Source organism: Homo sapiens, chromosome 16, assembly GCF_000001405.40.
Source record: "Homo sapiens chromosome 16, GRCh38.p14 Primary Assembly".
NCBI classification, from domain to species: Eukaryota; Metazoa; Chordata; class Mammalia; order Primates; family Hominidae; genus Homo; species Homo sapiens.
Genome location: NC_000016.10, coordinates 66,734,204 through 66,750,158, shown reverse-complemented (window position 1 = coordinate 66,750,158; position 15,955 = coordinate 66,734,204). Strand labels below are relative to the sequence as shown.

At 44.0% G+C, this 15,955-nt stretch overlaps 1 protein-coding gene across 5 annotated transcripts in view, besides 1 other annotated feature; it reads left to right on the top strand.

The window, feature by feature from the left end:
• DYNC1LI2 (dynein cytoplasmic 1 light intermediate chain 2) overlaps positions 1 to 15,955 on the top strand; it is a 30,717-nt gene that overhangs the window by 1,451 nt on the left and 13,311 nt on the right. For 3 of the 5 annotated variants that reach the window (NR_136658.2, NM_006141.3, XM_017023008.2), the window contains exons 3-6: positions 846 to 962; positions 7,491 to 7,721; positions 13,915 to 14,084; positions 15,848 to 15,941. Coding sequence is in view for 4 of the 5 variants with exons in the window: in NM_006141.3 (NP_006132.1) it covers positions 846 to 962; positions 7,491 to 7,721; positions 13,915 to 14,084; positions 15,848 to 15,941 (612 nt within the window). In the remaining variant the exon portion in view is untranslated. The remainder of the gene's footprint in view (positions 1 to 845; positions 963 to 7,490; positions 7,722 to 13,914; positions 14,085 to 15,847; positions 15,942 to 15,955) is intronic. The other 2 variants (NM_001323955.2, NM_001286157.2) reach the window with 2 other exon arrangements.
• Positions 3,347 to 3,547: a silencer, noted in NCBI's record as "peak2616 fragment used in MPRA reporter construct". NCBI's record gives its function as "represses an SCP1 promoter by STARR-seq MPRAs in K562 erythroleukemia cells {active_cell/tissue: K562}" and the evidence as "EXISTENCE:reporter gene assay evidence [ECO:0000049][PMID:32103011]".

Here is a 15,955-nt window from a genome sequence, read left to right as displayed (position 1 = left end):
CAGTAGCTCAAAATGAGCAGGTACTGAAGTCAGGCTGACAGGTCCTCACCTTGGTCTGGATGCAGAGGGCCTGAATAAGGTAGAGGCATTGGAGATGGAGAGGAGGTCTTTGATCTGTGGACTGACTGCCTTTCAATTCTCATGTTCTGTAATTCCATATTATTAAATGGCAGAAGTGCCTAGTAATGTTTGGCGATGGTTCTCCTTGATGTTTAAGGATCCGGGGAAGGGGGGTGTTGTTTGGGTGGAGGGAGATGAAGAAGTGCTTAATAATTAACTGAGATTGTACTGAAGAGTTTTGCTAGGTCTATAATTATTTTCGTCAGTTTCTTAGCCTTCAGAATGTTTGTGAAGGAGATGTACTAAAATCAAAAGTGAATAACTTCCATTCTTCACCATTGTGAAGCAGGATCAGACTTTTTTTAGTTCACAGTACCTGGACTTTTAGGTTAATTGTATCATATTTTGAAGATTTCTTGTTTTTCTTGTGGTGAAACTTTTTCTTGTGAGAAACTAACCCTACCTTTTACTTTCACTTCTCCGAATGCATGTCTTATAAATTATAGATAGGGCCTGTGGACCTGCCTCATTATTTCCCTTTTGAAGTAAGGATAACTGCAGTAGAATGTCATTTTAGATCTTGGAATTTGCTGCCTTTACCACCCTCTCCTCCCCACCCTCCCAACCACTCTTCCAGCAAAGTCCTTTGTTTATGAAAGCAGGTGAGACTTCAACAGCAGACTTTGCATGAAATTCTTAGTTTCTCCGTGTCATGTGAGTGTCATGCCTCCCCATCCTTGCCCGGAATAAACAGTACACCTTTGTCTTGCAAACATCCTTTGTAGGTGAAGATGGTTCTGGTAAAACAACCCTCATGACTAAACTACAAGGAGCTGAGCATGGCAAAAAAGGAAGAGGCCTAGAATATCTCTACCTCAGTGTCCATGATGAGGACCGAGATGGTGAGTGAAGCATTGGTCCCATGGTAAGGGGGTGTATGCAGGACTCTGACTGCTTCCTTGGGTGCAGTTCCTGCAGCATGGCCAGGCATTCTCAGTTTTCTGTTTGGTTCTCAGAGAGTTAATCACAGAATAGATGAAGTACGTATCTTTTGCAGGACTTAACCCCCTTTATAGAGTATGTTAGCAAAATTGGGGAATGGGACACTTAGCTGTTGCTCTGGCTAGCCTGCCTTTAAAAAGAGATACTGAAGATAAATTTTTACTTAACCCATAAAGGTGGTAAGAAAGATTTTTTAAAGCTTTGGAGTTTTATATGAGAGAAATGCTTGGCTGTCCTGGGGACCATTGTTACTCTGCCTGGTTCTAGTAGAGAATCCGAAGTTGGTGTGGTTTAGAGTGTAACAATTTAACATATGTTAATAGGAGAGTTTCCTGAATCTCTTTGTGACAGTTTAGAAATGGTAGTTTCTGCCGGATTTGGTGACTCCTGTCATAATCGCAGCTACTCAGGAGGCTGAGGTGGGAGGATCACTTGAGGCCAGGAGTTGGGGACTGCAGTGAGCTGTGTTATACACTCAAGCCTGGGTGACAGAGCGAGACCGTCTCTGTTTTTTAAAAAAGAAAGAATGAAAGAAATGCCCATTTTCTGTGTTTCTTCTGGTAGAGGAGTAGATGCTCAGAGGTGGTAATATTCTTTAATTCCTCATCTTTAAAACGTGAGTAGTAATAGTTACTGCTTAGGATGATTGAAAGCACATGATAAACACTCTTATAAGGATTACATATAATTTTAAAATGTTTTCTTACAAGTGTAATTGTGATTTGGAGTAATGGTTTTGGGTTACAACTGCTCAGTAATGCCTCCTTTATAATCTTTTGGTTTTATGTTAGTTTTTTTTTTTTTTTTTTTTTTTTTTTTGAGACAGGGTTTTACTCTGTCACCCAGGCTGGGGTGCAGTGGCTCAATCTTGGCTCATTGCAACCTCTGCCTCCCAGCCTCGGGTCATCCTTCCACCTCATCCTCCTAAGCAGCTGGGACTATAGATGTGTGCCACCACACCTGGCTAATTTTTGTACAGATGGGGTTTCACTATGTTGCTCAGGTTGGTCTCGAACTCCTGAGCTCAAGCAGTCTGCTCGCCTCAGCCTCTCAAAGTGCTGGGATTACAGGCATGAACCACTGCACCCAGCCTATGTTAGATCTTTTCAATGATTCAAAAATAAATAACCATTGGTACCTAGGTTGGTTGGTTGGTTGGTTTTTTTGGTAGAAAAGTTATCTGTATAACCTAAAGATGAAGTGTATTCACTAAATTACTTTCTTTAGGGCAGGCGTGGTGGCTGACGTCTGTAATTCTAGCACTTTGGGTGGCTGAGGCGGGTGGATCACTTGGGATCAGGAGTTCAAGACCAGCCTGGTCAACTTGGTGAAACCCCATCTCTACTAACAATACAAAACATTAGCCAGGCGTGGTGGTGCATGCCTGTAGCCCCAGCTACTCTGGAGGCTGAGGCATGAAAATCACTTGAACCCAGGAGGTGGAGGTTGCAGTGAGCCGAGATTGCACCACTGCACTCCAGCCTAGGCGATAAAACGAGACTCCTTCTTAAAAAAAAAAAAAAAAAATTACTTTCTTTATATTTGCCTTTACTCATTTAAACAGTAAAGATTACGATGTATGGGCGATTATATAATGAGGGCTGATCCTACCACCTCTAGTCCCCCATTTCCTTATTGCTAAAATGACAAAGTTGAACCAAGGTCCTTTCCAGCACCGTAATTCTACCATCTCCAAGAGCTGTTTAGTAGAGGGCATGGGTGGCTGGGCGCGGTGGCTCACGCCTGTAATCCCAGCATTTTGGGAGTCTGAGGCAGGCAGATCACCTGAGGTCCATTTGAGACCAGCCTGGCCAACATGGTGAAACTCTGTCTCTAGTAAAAATACAAAAATTAGCCAGGCATGGTGGCGCACGCCTGTAATCCCAGCTACCCAGGAGGCTGAGGCAGGAGAATCGCTTCAACCTGGGAGGCAGAGGTTGCGGTGACCGAGATTGTGCCACTGCACTCCAGCCTGGGCAACAGAGTGAGACTCTGTCTCAAAAAAAAAAAAAAATGTTGAGGGCATGGGTAAGAGTCTCTTGTGTAAGAAGGACAGAGGCATTTGGGTACTCATCTAGGCCCACTGGAGTCTGTACATACAGGGCTGCTGAGCCTGGCCAGAGGATCTCACATGTATTGAGTCTTTTGCTTCCTTTTTTGGACAGTGTGGTTACTGTGGAAAGAGCTGTGGCTTTGGAGCCAGGCAGAACTCGTTCAGAATGCCATGCCTGTAGTCAGTAGTTGTGTGGCTTTGGGTAACTGACTTAACCACTCTGTACTTGAGTTTCCTCATTTGTAGAATGGGGTAATGGTGCCTATACAAAATGATACAGGGTGTATCAGGTGTAACAGTGCTTGAGACATGGTGATAGCTCTAGTACCCTTTTGTTTCTTTTGAAAGTGTAAAACATGATGTAGGTAATCTGTGAATCTCTATAGCCTCTTCTGTTTCAAGATACCATAAGCATATTTCATGCCAGAGCATCGTGTTGACCACATTTATTTGCCTTTAAGTATATTTTAACTTATATACAGATTTTTTTAAAGTTACCTTAAAAACTTCTTGGTCTCTGCATTTATTGGATTTTTTTAGGCCACCCGCTTGCAAGTTCCTGTTTGATGGAAGAATTGCCCTTATCTGTTGTTAATGGTACATTTTCCAGCCCTAGTCTTTCTTACTGTGTGATGTGATTGAGTTATAAATATACACTTTGCAAGCAGTTACCCAGGTAGAGAAAACAGTCTCTGGCTTGTACCTAGTTTGTGGTAGGATGTGACATGTCAAAGGACCTCTGCCTCCAGGTTTGGGGGCATCTGTTTAATGCTACACGTGGTGTGATCTCCAAGCACATGGGTGAGTTACGTGTAGTGGGCAGTGGGGAGAGAGGCTGAAAAAAGGAACCATGCCTGTGGATGGGTAGGCATTAAAACCCACAGACTTTGGGTACAGAGTAGTATTTTTGAGGACATTCACAGAACCCAAACTAAAGCCGCTAAAATAGAATTTGAAAGTATTGCTAGATTTAGATACTTTATACTGTTGACACAAAGCCATGAATATAAATTTTTTTATAGCATGTTAATTGCTTATACAAAAAAGTTAATAAAAGATAGGTTTTTTTTTAAGTATATTTTTCTAAAAGAGGAAGATTGGGTTTTTTTGTTTGTTTTGTTTTATTTTTTTTCTTTTTTTGAGACAGGGTCTGGCTCTGTCATCCAGGCTGGAGTGCAGTGGCATTATCTCAGCTCCCTGCAACCTCCACCTCCCGAGCTCGAGCAGTCCTCCCTCCTCAGTCTCCCGAGTAGCTGGGACTACAGGTACATGCCACCAAGCCTGGCTAATTTTTGTATCTTTTGTAGAGATGGGGTTTTGCCATGTTGTCCAGGCTGGTCCTGAACTCTTGAGCTCAAGTGATCCACCCGCCTCAGACTCCCAAAGTGCTGGGATTACAGGCGTGAGCCACCAGGCCCTGCTGGTTTTAAAGTATATGTTGGAATTTATTGAAAAAGAAGCTAATAGGCCGGGCGCGGTGGCTCACGCCTGTAATCCCAGCACTTTGTGAGGCTGAGGTGGGCGGACCCCTTGAGCCCAGGAGTTCGGGACCAGCCTGGACAACGTGGTGAAACCCCATTTCTACTAAAAATACAAAAATCAGCCAGTATGGTGGCACACAACTGTAATCCCAGCCACTCAAGAGCCTGAGGCATGAGGATCGCCTGAACCTGGGAGGCGTGGGCTGCAGTGAGCTACGCCAGTCTAGGCACACCCCTACACCACACCACTACACTCCAGTCTAGGCAACAAAGTAAAACTCATCACAAAAAGAAAAAGTATTAATAGTTAATAAAATATTTTTGATGATAGTTCTCAAGGTACTTTTATAAAACATAGTTCTGCCGGGCACGGTGGCTCATGCCTGTAATCCCAACAAGGCTGAGGCGGGCAGATCACCACAGGTCAGGAGTTCGAGACTAGCCCAGCCAACATGGTGAAACCCGGTCTCTACTAAAAATGCAAAAATTAGCTGGGCGTAGTGGTGCACTCCTGTAATCCCAGCTACTCAGAAGCTGAGGCAGGAGAATCGAAGCCTTAGAGTAGGAGATTGCAATGAGTTGAGCTTGCACCACTGCATTCCAACCTGGGTGACAGAGGGAGACTCCATCTCAAAAAATAAAAATAAATAAAAAATAGTTCTCAAAAGATAACTGAAAATTTCTAAAAATACATTATAAATTTGGCCGGGCATGGTGATTCATGCCTATAATCCCAGCACTTTGGGAGGCTGAGGCGGGCAGATCACTTGAGGTCAGGAGTTCGAGACCAGCCTGGCCAACGTGGTGAAACCCCATCTGTACTAAAAATACAAAAATTAGCCAGGCGTAGTGGCACGTGCCTGTAGTCCCAGCTACTTGGGAGGCTGAGGCAGGAAAATCGCTTGAACCTGGGCAGCAGGGAGGGGTGGCGGCGGTTGCGGCGGCAGTTGCAGTGAGCCAATATCGTGCCACTACACTCCAGCCTGGGTGATAGAGTGAGACTCCATCTCAAATAAATGAATAAATTTGGAGAATTGTCTTCGGCAGTTAGATCATCCTGGTATTCATTTGGAACCACGTTTCATTACATCTTAGCACTTGCACATTTGTGTGAATCTATTTTAGTAGAAAACAAAAAATATATACAAAGTAGAGAGTGGTATCATGAACCACAGTGTACTTGTCACCTTGCTTCAACAATTACCAGTTCTGGCTGGGCGCACTGGCTCAGGCCTGTAATCCCAGCACTTTAGAAGGCCGAGGCAGGAGCATTGCTTGAGCCTAGGAGTTTGAGACCAGCTTGGGCAATATCAGGAGACCCTATCTCTACAAAAAACTAAAAAATTAGCTGGGCATGGTGGCTTGTGCCTGTAGTCCCAGCTACTTGGAAGGCTGAAGTGGGTGGATCACTATCCCAGGAAATCGAGACTGCAGTTGCCACTGCACTCCAGCCTGGGTGTCTCAGACGCTGTCTCAAAAATAAATATACAAACATACATAACCAGTTCTTGATCAATTTTATTTCAACTGTACTTTTACTCTTTGCTCTGTTTACTCCCCACTAGATGATTTTGAAGCAGATTTCAGACATTAAATTTTATCTATGTATACTGCCATAAGGACATCTAAGATAAGAATTTTTTAAAAACATAACCATATTATTATCATAACAAAAAATTACTAATTCCCCAATATAATTAGGCGTCTGGTAATTCATATCTCAGTTTATGTAAGTGATGATTTTATCTTCACATTTAAATACAAAGGTTCTGTCTCTTTGGCATCCTTTATAGTATGTGAATGCATTGTTTAGTGTGACCAACACAAGAAGGGCTTGTTTAAACATAGGCTCTTCAGCACAGCTCACTGCTTCACTGATTGCTGTTACCTTAGGATGATGGATTATTTAGGTTGTGGCACAGTTGACCAGTGAACATTAGTATCTTTTGGTTTTTATTGAAAGCTAAGAGACTCTCACCCTTTTTTTTTTTTTTTTTTTTTTGAGATGGAGTCTCACTCTGTCATCCAGGCTGGAGTGCAGTGGCACGATCTCGACTCACTGCAACATCTGCCTCCCGGGTTCAAGTGATTCTCCTACCTCAGCCTCCCAAGTAGCTGGGATTACAGGCGCCTGCCACCATGCCCAGCTAAATTTTGTATTTTTAATAGAGACAGGTTTTACCATGCTGGCCAGGCCGGTCTTGAACTCCCGACCTCGTGATCAGTTCGCCTCAGCCTCCCAAAGTGCAGGGATTATAGGTGTGAGCCACCGCACTGGGTCCGATACCCTCAATCTTTACTTCATAGACATTTTGGAAACCTTTTTAGGTGTGAACACCTCCTATATTACTGTAGTTTTTTTTGTTTGTTTTGTTTTTGTTTTTGTTTTTGTTTTTGTTTTGAGATGGACTCTCATTCTGTTGCCCAGGCTGGAGTGCATTGGCACAATCTCAGCTCATCGCAACCTCTACTTCCTGGGTTCAAGCAATTCTCCTGCCTCAGCCTCCTAAGTAGCCGGGATTACAGGCGAGTGTCACGATGCCCGGCTAATTTGTTTTGTACTTTTAGTAGAGATGGGGTTTTGCCATGTTGGCCAGGCTGGTCTTGAACCCCTGACCTCAAGTGATCCACCTGCCTCAGCCTCTCAAAGTGTTGAGATTACAGGTGTGAGCCACCATGCCTGGACCCTATATTACTGTAGTTTTAAAGGCACCAGGACCAAGGATTGCTGTCTCCTGAGCACTTGGGCACTTTTTGGTTTGGATTTCCAAATTTTGCATTCTATTTAGAATTCATAGCTGTCACCTTCAAGATCTTCCTGATGTGTCTGTTTCTGCAGCTATGCTGATGGTCACTGTCAGGTGGTAACTAGCTTCATTCACTTGTTTTCTCAGATCACACGCGCTGCAACGTGTGGATTCTGGATGGAGACTTGTACCACAAAGGCCTGCTGAAATTTGCAGTTTCTGCTGAATCCTTGCCAGAGACCCTCGTCATTTTTGTTGCAGACATGTCTAGACCTTGGACTGTGATGGAATCTCTGCAGAAATGGGCTAGTGTTTTACGTGAGCACATTGATAAAATGAAAATTCCACCAGAAAAAATGAGGGAGCTGGAACGGAAGTGTGAGTAAAATATAATTTTCTTAATTGGGAAGTTCACGAGTCTCTTTAGATGGTTTGAATCACTTTCCTTTTCCCAATCCTAGAGGCTTCCCTTGCTTCGTGGTTTTGTTTTGTTTGCACCATTTATTTCAGAGTTCCTCTTGTAAACTCAGTAGTCAAAAGTATTCAAAGCAGTCTTTAACTCAAGTGTCACAAGTTGAAGAAAACAAATCAATATTTATTATCTTCATTGGTTTCCGTTTCAAATAAGAGTTCTTCCCTCACTCCCTAAAATGTGTTAAGTTCTGTGGATCTCTGTGCTTTTCTGTTACTCTCTGTCTGCTGAGTTAACATCAGAGGATGTGAGGGTTTGCTGTGGTCTCTGCAGCTTGAGTTTACTGCCCTGGAATTCCATTAAGGCCCTATGGACCCTCGTGTTGGCAGGCTTAGAGGAAGTCCTAAGAAAGACAAAGCTTTCAGCTCCTTAGTTCATTTTGGAATCCAGCAAAATACGATTTTAGTTAGAAATAGGAGGGTCTTTTTTTTTTTTTTTTTTTTTTTGTAATTAACATGAAAGGTTATTTTAAGACTAAGGACATCCAAGCCCTTTTGACAACAAAGAACTTTCAAATTAAAGGAAGTTTGTTTGGGTTTTTTTTTCCTTAATGTGGTTCAGAAGCTTGTTTTTCCTTTCCCTTGCTTCTGTGCAGTTACATCATCTTCTGTCCACTTGCCAGGGAAATGGGAGGGGCAGGGGCTGGAGCCATGGCAGCAGCAGCAGCCGTCCTGGCCGGGGCAAGCTTGACCCAGCCTGGCGTATTTTCACAGGATGACATCACCCCCTCTGGTGAATTAATGAGGGCTTCTCGGGCATGGCACACGGGATCTTCACACTTACTGGCAGAATGGTTCAGAAATTTTGATGCGCTTTTTAAATCAAGTTTCTCGCAGTGTGTTTTCTGTCCAGTACTTCATCTTGCTTCTGTCCCACGTTGTCTAAAACAATGAGTTTAACATTGTATTCTTCGGTTTGTTGTGCATGTGTATATTTCCCTGGTCACCCGCATGTGTGCTACTGTGATTGTTATGCAGCTCAGCTCATGTGTCTTCAACCACTGACCTTTCTAGATAATGCCTCTTTTTTCCTGAAATAGAGCCCTTAAGGACAACTTCTCTGAATAGTTCTGAGTCTGAAGACCTGCTTTCATCCACTGCACAGACAGCTTTGTACCCAGATGAGTGGGCTAATGTACTGGTGACTTCAGTTCTCTGAAGCTGTTTTCTTAGAGTGATAACCTTGTAGAGATCTGTTAAGACAGAAAAGAGAGAGATTGAGCCAATATTGTTTTTTCCCAGATAGGGAAAGTGTCTGCCCTATACTGTACCAGGTACCAGGTTCTAGGTGCTGGAGACACAGTAAATAAAAGGCCTGCTTCTGGGGGGCTTAAATTTCCATGAAACACTGAATTTATTTTGTGATTTAGTCATTGATGGCTGTTATTTAGGATTAGATTCAGCTGCATGTGACATAAAACCTGAGATAACATAATGGCTTAAACAAGACTGAGGGTTATTTCTCTCCTGTAAATGAAATCTGGAGGTGTAGGTAGTTGAGGACTGGAAATTAGAGCCCTGGGAAGACAGCTGGAGGACCTTGCTCCTTTGTGCTTACTGCTTTGTCATTTCTAGGGTGTGGTTCTCTTCCTCCTGACTGAGAGCTCTAGCCTTCACATCCGTGTTCCAGTCAGCAGGATGGAGGAAGAGAAATGCAGGGCTGCAGGGGCTGCTGTCTCTTAAGGAGGCTGGGAAATGTAATCTTTACTTTGGGTTGCCATGTGTTCTAAATATCAAAGTTCAGTTTGGTTATAAGGAGGAAGAGGAGAGAGGACACCGTAGGGCAGCTAGCAATTGCTGGAACCATGTCCCACGACTCTGGTTGGTTTTCCATTGGCCTCTCTGCTGTCACCACCCCTTCTCAGATGTTTGGAATGGTAGCCACGTCTTTGTGTTGTATGTTGGAGGAGCCTTTGTTAGTACTGGGTTTAGGCTACATTTTAATAAAGCAGTTGGCTATCCTCTTGCCCAGAGGACTCTTGCTTTCCAGATTAATTGGACTCTAGATGTTATATGGAAGGAGTGAAGGGCTGTTATTCAACCTGGTTTCCAGTCCAACACCAGTCTCCATTCTTATGATTTTGGAAAGCTGCTCCATGGCCGGCCAGTCTCTTTTAGGGTTAGGTTCCCAGTGGTTTTGTGTCTGTGGCAGCTGTTTGGCTGCAGGGATCATCTGAGTGAAAGGGAAAGCATCCCCTATAGCCACCAGAAGGTGGCGCTTTTTTGTACTTTAGTCTTCTCTTTCTTGTTTTATATATGGGGCTTTTCTTATGCTTATGTAGGACTATGGGGTCTTCTCAGGACTGTGAAACCAATAAATGAGGTAGGAGGGAAAAGTTGAGAGAGAAGCAGCAGCAGCAGTGAAGATGCTCTGTGATCTTCTTGTACCCACTCCCATCTGATTCCAAAGGGAAGCCCCAAGTGGGCTGATGTCCCCTGCTGTGAAATACTCACCATCTGGAGAGAAATTGTTAACACTGCAGTATGTGTATACCCAAGAAAAAATGCACGTTTTACTATCCAACTTACATGGTCCTTCCTCTTTTTAATACTGCCTTTTCACTCATGTTATGTATATTTGCTCTGCTTTCCAAATTGCTTTCTAAAATGCTAAGTTGGCCAGGCGCAGTGGCTCAATGCTTGTAACCCCAGCACTTTGGGAAGCTGAAGTGGGCCAATTGGTTGAGACCAAAAGTTTGACACCAGCCTGGGCAACATGGCGAAACCCTGTCTCTAAAAAAATTTAGCCAGTCATGGTGGTACATGCCTGTAGTCCTGGCTACTCGGAGGCAGACAAATTGATTGAGCCCAGCAGGTCGAGGCTGCAGTGAGCCATGATTGTGCCACTGCCCCGCAGCCTGGGCAACAGAGCCAAGACTCTATCTCAAAAACAATTAAATAAATAAAATAAAATGCTAAGTTATTTAAAAATGTGAATTTCCTATTGTTGGGCAGCCACAATTAAGTCATTCCTTTAGAGCGTGAATAATCTAGGGCTTCTGAACTATTTTCTCCTCATGGCACAGGTAAAAAACAGCAGAAAAGTTTACAGTGCACGAGGTAATGGGGTGGAGGTTCGTGGAGCCAGCTGTCTGAACTTCCTGCCTCCACCTTCCAACCGTAGCTTAGCTTACCTGTGAGCCCTTCCAGGCTCTGTGCTTCTCACTGTCTGGGAAGCCCTAGTTGAGTGCCTCACGAGATCTTCGGGCATTAGATCTTGCCCAGTTAAGCCATTGTATATTTTATTGATTTGAAGATTTGTTAAAAGTGCTTTTAAAGAGAAAAATGTGAGAATATTTGATTCCTTTAAAGACCCTTCAACAACCACATGGAGGAGTTCTTCTCTGTTTTTATCCAAAATGGAGTATGGTTTACTTGACTAGATTATTTGTATTAACAGTGAAGTATTTGTGTGTGTGTGTGTGTGTGTGTGTGTGTGTGTGTGTGTGTGTGTGTGTGTTTGTTTTTTTTTGAAACAGAGTCTCACTGTCACCCAGCCTAGAGTGCAATGGCACGATTTCGGCTCACTGCAACCTCCACCTCCTGGGTTCAAGTGATTCTCCTGCCTCAGCCTCCCAAGTAGCTGGGATTACAGGTGCCCGCCACCATGCCTGGCTAATTTTTGTATTTTTAGTAGAGACAAGGTTTCACCATGTTGGCCAGGCTGGTCTTGAATTCCTGACCTCATGATCCACCCGCCTTGGCCTGCCACAGTTCTGGGATTACAGACATAAGCCATCGCGTTTAGCCTGACAGTGAAGGTATATGAATGAGCTTAATTAAAGAGATGCTGTAGGCCGGGTGCTGTGGCTCACGCCTGTAATCCCAGCACTTTGGGAGACTGAGGTGGGTGGATCACAAGGTCAGGAGTTCAAGATCAGCCTGGCCAAGATGGTGAAACCCTGTCTCTACTAAAAATACAAAACAAAATTAGCCGGGCATGGTGGTAGGTGCCTGTAATCCCAGCTACTCAGGAGGCTGAGGCAGAGAATTACTTAAACCCGGCAGGTGGAGGATGCAGTGAGCCGAGATTGTGCCACTGCACTCCAGCCTCGGCAACAGAGCGAAACTCCATCACAAAAAAAAAAAAAAAAAAAAAAAAAGAAGCTGTAGAGATGAAATATCACATCTGCACTTTAGGGCCTAATCAGTTAGTTTTCAGTTTGCTCACTGTTACATGAAAGACAGAGAGCTCTCAGATAATTTCAGAAGCTCATATAATAGTAACGTCAAATCTTTGTAAATAAAAACTCGTGGTTTGAAATGTTTGAAACGTGTTCTGTGGGTGAAGAGGAGCAGGTAGGACCTTTCTCTAGGTCCTCTTCAGTCCTGTTGTTTGAATTTACTTAGCATGTTGGTGAGAGTAAAAGGCCTTTGATCCTTCAGTCTTACTGGACTTAGAAGGGTAGAGCTGCCTGTTTTCTTCTCTGGCTCAAGGTAGCTTTAACTGTTGCATTTTTTGTTCTCTGGACCAACATGAGAGCCTTGAAGTGCCCACATAAAGGTGCAGAGCTGTGGGCTTTGTGGTCACTTGGCTTAACTGAGGCTCGGACCATTGTCACCTTAATGGCCTTCCTTAGCTGGATTAGTGAATATTGTATGCCAATAAGTGGATGTTGTACCACTGACCCTTTCTTGTGTTAGGCAGGAATAGGCCGTGAACACTGCACAAGTGACTTGGGATCCCCAAAAGATGAGACTGAGTCCACAAGAGTGAGGATAATAAGGAAATACATCTGGTGCTGGGCAAGACCAGCCTGGTTACTTAGTGCTGACAAGCTTCAGCTGTGTGGAAACAGCATGTTCTTATAAAATTCAATTGTTTCATTAAGCATTTTTTTTTTTTTTTTTTTTGAGACGGAGTCTCGCTCTGTCTTACTGCAACCTCCGACTCCCTGGTTCAACTGAGTCTCCCGCCTCAGCCTCCCAAGTAGCTGGGATTACAGGCACGTGCTGCCACACCCAGCTAATTTTTGTATTTTTAGCAGAGACAGGGTTTCACCATGTTGGCCAGGGTGGAAGCTTGTTGTTTTTTGTTTGTTTTTGTTTTTTGTTTTGTTTTGTTTTTTGAGGTATAGTCTCACTCTGTTGCCCAGACTGGAGTACAGTGACGCAATCTTAGCTCACTGCAACCTCCACCTCCCAGGTTTAGGCGATTCTCATGCCTTAGCACGAGTCCCCAAGTAGCTGGGACTACAGGTGCACCACCATCCTTAGCTAATTTTTGCATTTTTAGTACAGATGGGGTTTTGCCATGTTGGCCAGGCTGGTCTCAAACTCCTGACCTCAGGTGAACCACCCGCCCTGGCCTCCCAAAGTGATGAGATTACTGGCATGAGCCACTGTGCCCAGCTCATTAGGCATTTCTAATGAGGACTGTGATAAGTATTGTAAGTTATAGCTGTTTCTAATGGTCAGCTATGTTGAAGTTACACAGTTCAACTCTTCTGGTATTCTGAAAATGTAAGATACATAAGAAAAGTGGCTTTCTTCATGGTAAGAACTATTGAAACCTTAGTATTTTTTAAAAACCTGTTTAAGGGCCAGACATGGTGGCTCAAGACTGTAATCCCATAATCCCAGCACTTTGGAAAGCCGAGGTAGCAGGATCTCTGCAGCCCAAGAGTTTGAGACCAGCCTGGCAACACAGGAAGATCCCACCTCTACAAAAATTTAAAAAGTAGCTGGGCATGGTGGCACATGCCTTTAGTCCCAGCTACTTGGGAAGCTGAAGTGGGAAGATCACTTGAGCTCAGAAGATGGTGATATCAGACTGCTGCACTTCAGCCTGGGCAAGAGAGCAAGACTTTGTCTCAAAAAAGAAGAAAAAAAAACCTGTTCAGGGGTTTGGTGCAATTAAAGATGCCCAGGGGAATGTCTTTGCTGCCCCGATGTTACAAAGCTCACACTGAATATTTCAGAATTGGCATTTTGTATCACCATCCCCAAATCCTTGATTTTGCAGTTGGATGTGACTAAGAAGTTTGTCACACACAACTGCCTGTGTTTTGTGCTTATTATTGCCTTCTTTTCAGTGTTCTAAAGCTAACATGTATTTTTATTTATGTGCATGTGATTTTTTTTCCTCTTTTTCCCCCAGTTGTGAAAGATTTTCAAGACTATATGGAACCTGAAGAAGGTTGTCAAGGTTCCCCACAGAGAAGAGGCCCTCTGACCTCAGGCTCCGATGAAGAAAATGTTGCCCTGCCTCTGGGTGACAATGTGCTGACTCATAACCTGGGGATCCCGGTGTTGGTGGTGTGCACAAAGGTGTGTGCCAGGGGGTTGTTGGCTTGGCTGGGTTCGGGTGGTGAACAGTCACCATCTGAAAGTTTGAGAAACTGTTGACGTTTTTTTCCCAAGGGAGACTTGGGCTTATTTGAGATTCATTAAGGTACATTGAATATGTCAAGACAGAAAAAATTATCATGTAAATTGGAAGTTTAAATGCAGGAAACATGACTAGTCAGTTTGCTCATGGCCTAGGGTTAATGTCTCTGAAGCACTGTTGACTTTCAAACTTAGAACTCACAGCAGTTGGCCAGTTGCGGTGGCTCACGCCTGTAATCTCAGCACTTTGGGAGGCTGAGGTGGGCGGATCATGAGGTCAGTAGATGGAGACCATCCTAGCTAACATGGTGAAACCCCGTCTCTACAAAAAATACAAAAAATTAGACAGCCGTGGTGGCGGGCACCTGTAGTCCCAGCTACTTGGGAGGCTGAGGTAGGAGAATGGCATTAACCCAGGAGGTGGAGCTTGCAGTGAGCCGAGATCATGCCATTGCACTCCAGCCTGAGCGATAGAGCGAGACTCCGTCTCAAAAAATAAAAATAAAAAAAAAAGAACTCACAGCAGTTTCCTTAAGGCTATTTAAATCAGCTGATGTGGTCCAAACTGATGGTGGAAAATTAGAATGATGAGGTAGGAATAGAAATTAAGTTCAGTCATGCCAGACATGGTGGCTCATGTAATCCCAGCACTTTGGGAGGCTCAGGTGGGTGGATCATTTGAGGTCAGGAGTTCAAGACCAGCCTGGCCGACATGGTGAAACCCTGTCTCTACTAAAATAGAAAAATTAGCCAGGCGTGGTGGCAGGTGCCTGTCATCCCAGCTACTCGGGGGCTGAGGCAGGAGAATTGCTTGAGCTGGGAGGCTGAGGTTGCAGTGAGCTGAGATGGCGCCACTGCACTCCATCCGGGATGACACAGTGAGACTATGTCTCAAAAAAAAAAGAAAAAAAAAACAAACAAAGTTCAGTCATAGAGAAATAGAGAAATAAAGTTGTATCTCTTATATAAGGAAAAACAATAGGTTTTAAAACTTTTTTTTTTTTTTTTTTTTTTTTTGAGACGGAGTTTCACTCTTGTTGCCCAGGCTGGAGTACAATGGTGTGATCTCGGCTCACTGCAACCTCTGCCTTCCCAGTTCAAGCGATTCTCCTACCTCAGCCTCCTGAGTAGCTGGGACTACAGGTGTCCGCCACCATGCCTGGCTAATTTTGTATTTTTATTAGAGATGTGGGTTTCTCCATGTTGGTCAGGCTGGTCTCAAACTCCCAACCTCAGGTGATCTGCCCACCTTGACCTCCCAGAGTGTTGGGATTACAAGTGTAAGCCACCACGCCTGGCCACATTTTGGGTTTTAAAAGTACTTTATTTCCAGTCAGAGCCATCATGTTACCCAATTATAGTGTGCCATTCTCATCCTGTTCTTGAGAATGGAGCCCTGTGGAGTGGAGTGTACAACTGTGTACACCGGGCCTGCCTCCTGATGGGAGCTTGTTTGATGTTTAGAACAAACTGTTAGGTGATCAGGCCTATTACATCTTCACTCTACAGATAAAAAAAAAAACGAGGCCCAAGATGAATGAGAAAAATCTCCGGTTCTTTTTTACTCTTCTCTAATTAATGCTTGGACCCTGAGCTGTGGCTTTCTTCTTTGGAGCCACAATACTTTATTTCTGAAGAATGAGGTGTTCCCATCGTCAGCAGGCAATGAAGCAAAAAGGTGACTCTGTCTGTCTTCCCTGCAGTGTGATGCGGTGAGTGTCCTGGAGAAGGAGCACGATTACAGGGATGAGCATTTGGACTTTATCCAGTCACACCTGCGGAGGTTCTGCCTTCAGTGTATCCTTTGGGCG